Source organism: Homo sapiens, chromosome X, assembly GCF_000001405.40.
Source record: "Homo sapiens chromosome X, GRCh38.p14 Primary Assembly".
NCBI lineage: Eukaryota > Metazoa > Chordata > Mammalia > Primates > Hominidae > Homo > Homo sapiens.
Genome location: NC_000023.11, coordinates 110,475,521 through 110,479,711, shown reverse-complemented (window position 1 = coordinate 110,479,711; position 4,191 = coordinate 110,475,521).

Genomic DNA, 4,191 nt, shown 5'->3' with positions numbered 1-4,191 from the left:
TAGCGACAAACAGGACAACGTACCTAGGAATACAGCTAACCAGGGATGTGAAAGAGCTCTACAACAAGAATTACAAAACACTGCTGAAAGAAATCAGAGATTACACAAACAAATGGAAAAACATTCCATGCTCATTGATAGGAAAAATCAATATTGTTAAAATGGCCATACTGCCCAAAGCAATGTCCAGATTCAGTGCTACTCCTATCAAACTACCAACAATGTCTATCACAGAATTTGAAAAAAAAAAAAACTATTCTAAAATTCATGTGGAATGAAAAAAAGAGCCCAAATAGGAAAACCAATCCTAAGCAAAAAGAAGAAAATCGGAGGCACCAAACTACCCAACTTCAAGCTACATTACATGCTATGGTAACAAAAACAGCATGGTACTGGTACAAAAACAGACTAATAGAACAATGGAACAGGTTAGAGAACCCAGGAATAAAGCCACACACCTAAAACCACCTGTCTTTGACAAAGTTGAAAATAACAAGCAATGGGGAAATGACTTCCTATTTGATAAATGGTGCTGGGGTAACTGGCTAGCCATATGCAGAAGATTGAAACTGAATTCCTTCTTTTCACCATATAAACAGATCAATGCAAGATGGATTAAAGACTTAAATGTAAAACCTAAAACTATAAAAATCCTATCATAAAACCAAGGAAATTCCATTCTGGACATAGACCCTGGAAAAGACTTCAAGACAAAGACTCCAAAAGCAATTGCAACAATAACAAAAATTGAAAAGTCGGACCTAATTAAAGTAAAGAGCTTCTGCACAGCAAAAGAAGGAATAAACAGAGTAAACAGACAAATGGGAGAAAATATTTGCAAACTATGCATCTGACAAAGGCCTAATATCCAGAATCTATAAGGAACTTAAACCAACAAGCAAAACAACAAACAAGCCCATTAAAAATGTGCAAAAGATATGAACAGATACTTCTCAAAAGAAGACATACATGAGACCAACAAGCATATGAAAAAGTGCTCATCATCATTAATCATCAGAGAAATGCAAATCAAAACTGCGATGAGATACCATCCCACACCAGTCAGAATGGCTATTATTAAAAAGTCAAAAAATAACAAATACTGGCAAGTTTACAGAGAAAGGGGAATGCTTACACACTGTTGATGGGAATGTAAATTAGTTCGGCCACTGTGGAAAGCAGTTTGGAGGTTTCTCAAAAGATTTAGAATTACCATTCAACCAGCAATTCCATTACTGGGTATATACCCAAATAAATATAAATCATTCTACCATAAAGATACATACACACATATGTTTATCATAGCACCATTCACCATAACAAAGACGTGGAATCAATCTAGAGGCCTGTCCAAGACTCCTTCTGCTTGAGAAAAGCAGAGGGTAAAGTAAATGAGACTTTGTCTTGCACCTTAGGTACCAGCTCAGCCACAGTGGGGTAGAGCAGCAAGCAGGCTCTTGAGGTCCCTGATTCTAGGACATGGCTCTTGGACGACATTTCTGGACCTGCCCTGGTTCAGAGGGGATCCCACTGCCCTGAAGGATGAGTCCCAGGCCAGGCAGCATTTACCACAAGCTGACTGAAGAGCCCTTGGGCCTTAGGGGAATATCAGTGGTAGTCTGGCAGTACGCCCTGTGGGCCAGTGGTGGCGGTGGCCACAGGGTGAGGCTCCTCCTCCTGTGAAAGTGGGAGGGAAGCGTGGGAAGGACTGTGCCTTGTGGTTTGAGTGCCAGCTCAGCTGCAGTATGATACAACAGCAAGTAGACTTCCAAGGTTTTCTACTCTAGTCCATGGCTCCCAGACAGCATCTCAGGACCCAGGCCTGGGGGAACTCACCACCCTGAAGGGAAGGACACAGGCCTAGCTGGCTTTGTCACCTGCTGATTGTAGGGCCCCAGGGCTTTGAGTGAACATAGGCAGTAGCCAGGGATTGGTTACAGCAGTTCTTGGACAAGACCTAGTGCGGCACTGGCTTCAGGTCTGACTCAGTGCAGTCCTAGTGGTGGTGGCCACAGGGGTGCTTGTGTCACTCCACCCCCAGCTTCAGGTGGCTCAGAACAGAGAGAGAGATTTTGTTCATTTGGGAGAAAGTAAGGGAAGAGAACAAGAGTCTCTGCCTGGTAATCCAGAGAATTCTCCCAGATCTTGTCCAAGACCATCCAGGCAATACCTCTACAAGTCTGCAAGAACCACAGCATTACTGGGCTTGGGGTTACCCCTAAACCAGATATAGCTTAGATCACAACACCCAAGTCCTTTCAAATATCTGGAAAGCTTTCCCAAGGAGGATGGGTACAAACAAGCCCAGACTACAAAGACTATAATAAATACCTAACTATTCAATGCCCAGACACAGACAAACATCTACAGGTATTAAGACAATCCAGGAAAATATGACTTCACCAAATGAACTAAACAAAGTACCAATCCTGGAGAAACAGGGATATGTGGCTACCTAGATGCCCATCAGTGGTGAACTGGATAAAGAAAATTTAGGACATACACACTGTGAAATACTATGCAGCCATTAACAAGAATGAAATTATGTCCCTTGCGGCATCACAGATGCAGCTAGAGGCCACTATCCTAAATGAATTAATGCAGGAAAAGAAAACCAAATACTACATGTTCTTACTTATAAGTGGGAGCTAAACACTGAATACACATGGACACAAAGAAGGGAACAAGAGACACCAGGGACTACTTGAGGGTGGGAGGTGGGAGAAGTGTGAGGATCAATAAACTACTTATTAGATACTATGCTCACTACTGGAGTAACAAAATAAGTTGTACACCAAACCCCAGCAATACACAATTTACTCATATAACAAACCTGCACATGTACCCATGAAGCTAAAACAAAAGTTGGAAGGAAAATAAATTTGTCTATTTCACCTATGTTATCGAATTTATTGGCATATAATTGTTCATAGCATTCCTTTATAATCCTTTTTTATTTCTGTAAGGTTGTTAATAATGTCATCTCTTTTATTTCTGATTCTAATAATTTGAGTCATCTTTTTTCTTTGTGCAATCCACCTAAGGATTTGTCAGTTGTGTTAATCCTTTAAAAGAACCAACTTTTGTTTTTGTTGATTCTCCCTATCATCTTTCTATTCCTATATCATTTATTTCCACTCTGATATTTATTATTTCATTCCTTCTGTTTACTTTAGGTTTAGTTTGCTCTTCTTTTTCCAGTGTCTTAAGGTGTAAGATTAGGTTACTAATTTAAGATCTATAATAGAGCTTTAAATTTCTTAATTTTTAATAGAGCTATAAATTTAATAGACCTATAAATTTCTCTCTAAGAACAGTTTTACTGTATCTCACAAGTTTTGGTATAATATGTCTTCATTTTCATTAATCTCAAAGCATTTTCTAATTTCTTAAGAATATGCTGCTTAATTTCCACACATTAGTAACAGCTCAAAGAAGGCTTCTTACCCCATCCATACCATCTCTTTTCCAATTGGTTGCCTTCATTCCTGTCCATAGCAATAACTGATGGTAACATAAGCAAAGTGCAAGTGACCTCATGCCCCGCTTTTTATTCTTCTTTCTCTACCACAGATTTACATTGTTAAAGGGGTCTTTCCTCTATCAGTTGGCTGCGTGTATCTTAGGAAAAAGCCTAAAATATATTTTGTTTTTGCCAAGTGCCTCTGAAGCCTCAGATGCTACCTTAAAGTGCTGCCCAGGATGGTTTTATACTCCTGAGCTCAAGCAATCTGCCCACCTCGGCCTTCCAAAGAAGTGCTGGGAATACCGATGTGAGCCACAGCACCGGGCCCAGCAATTAAGATTTTTTGGAAATACGGCTTTATGGGGGAGCTTCAAACCCATTTTGCCTCCTCATGGCCGCCTGGCTTCTGGTTCTCACAACAGCCATAGTTGTGAAGCTGTTGATTTTCAAGGCTACCTCTGTGCTGGGGTGAGAGAGATGGAAATAGAACAAGTTTAAATGCCAGAAAGCTCACTATTCTTGTCAAGATTTATTGATTTTTCCTGAATGAAGTTATCAAAACTTTGGTTAATTTCCAGAGTCTTTTAAAAGGTTGATTTTGACATTTTTTCCTAGTTTATTGTTGCTTTTATGAAGGAGTAGATTTTTGGAAGTTCTTACTCTACCAATCCAGAAGTACTCTTTTATAGCTGTGTTTTAATCATAAAATGTTTGTTATTTTATGA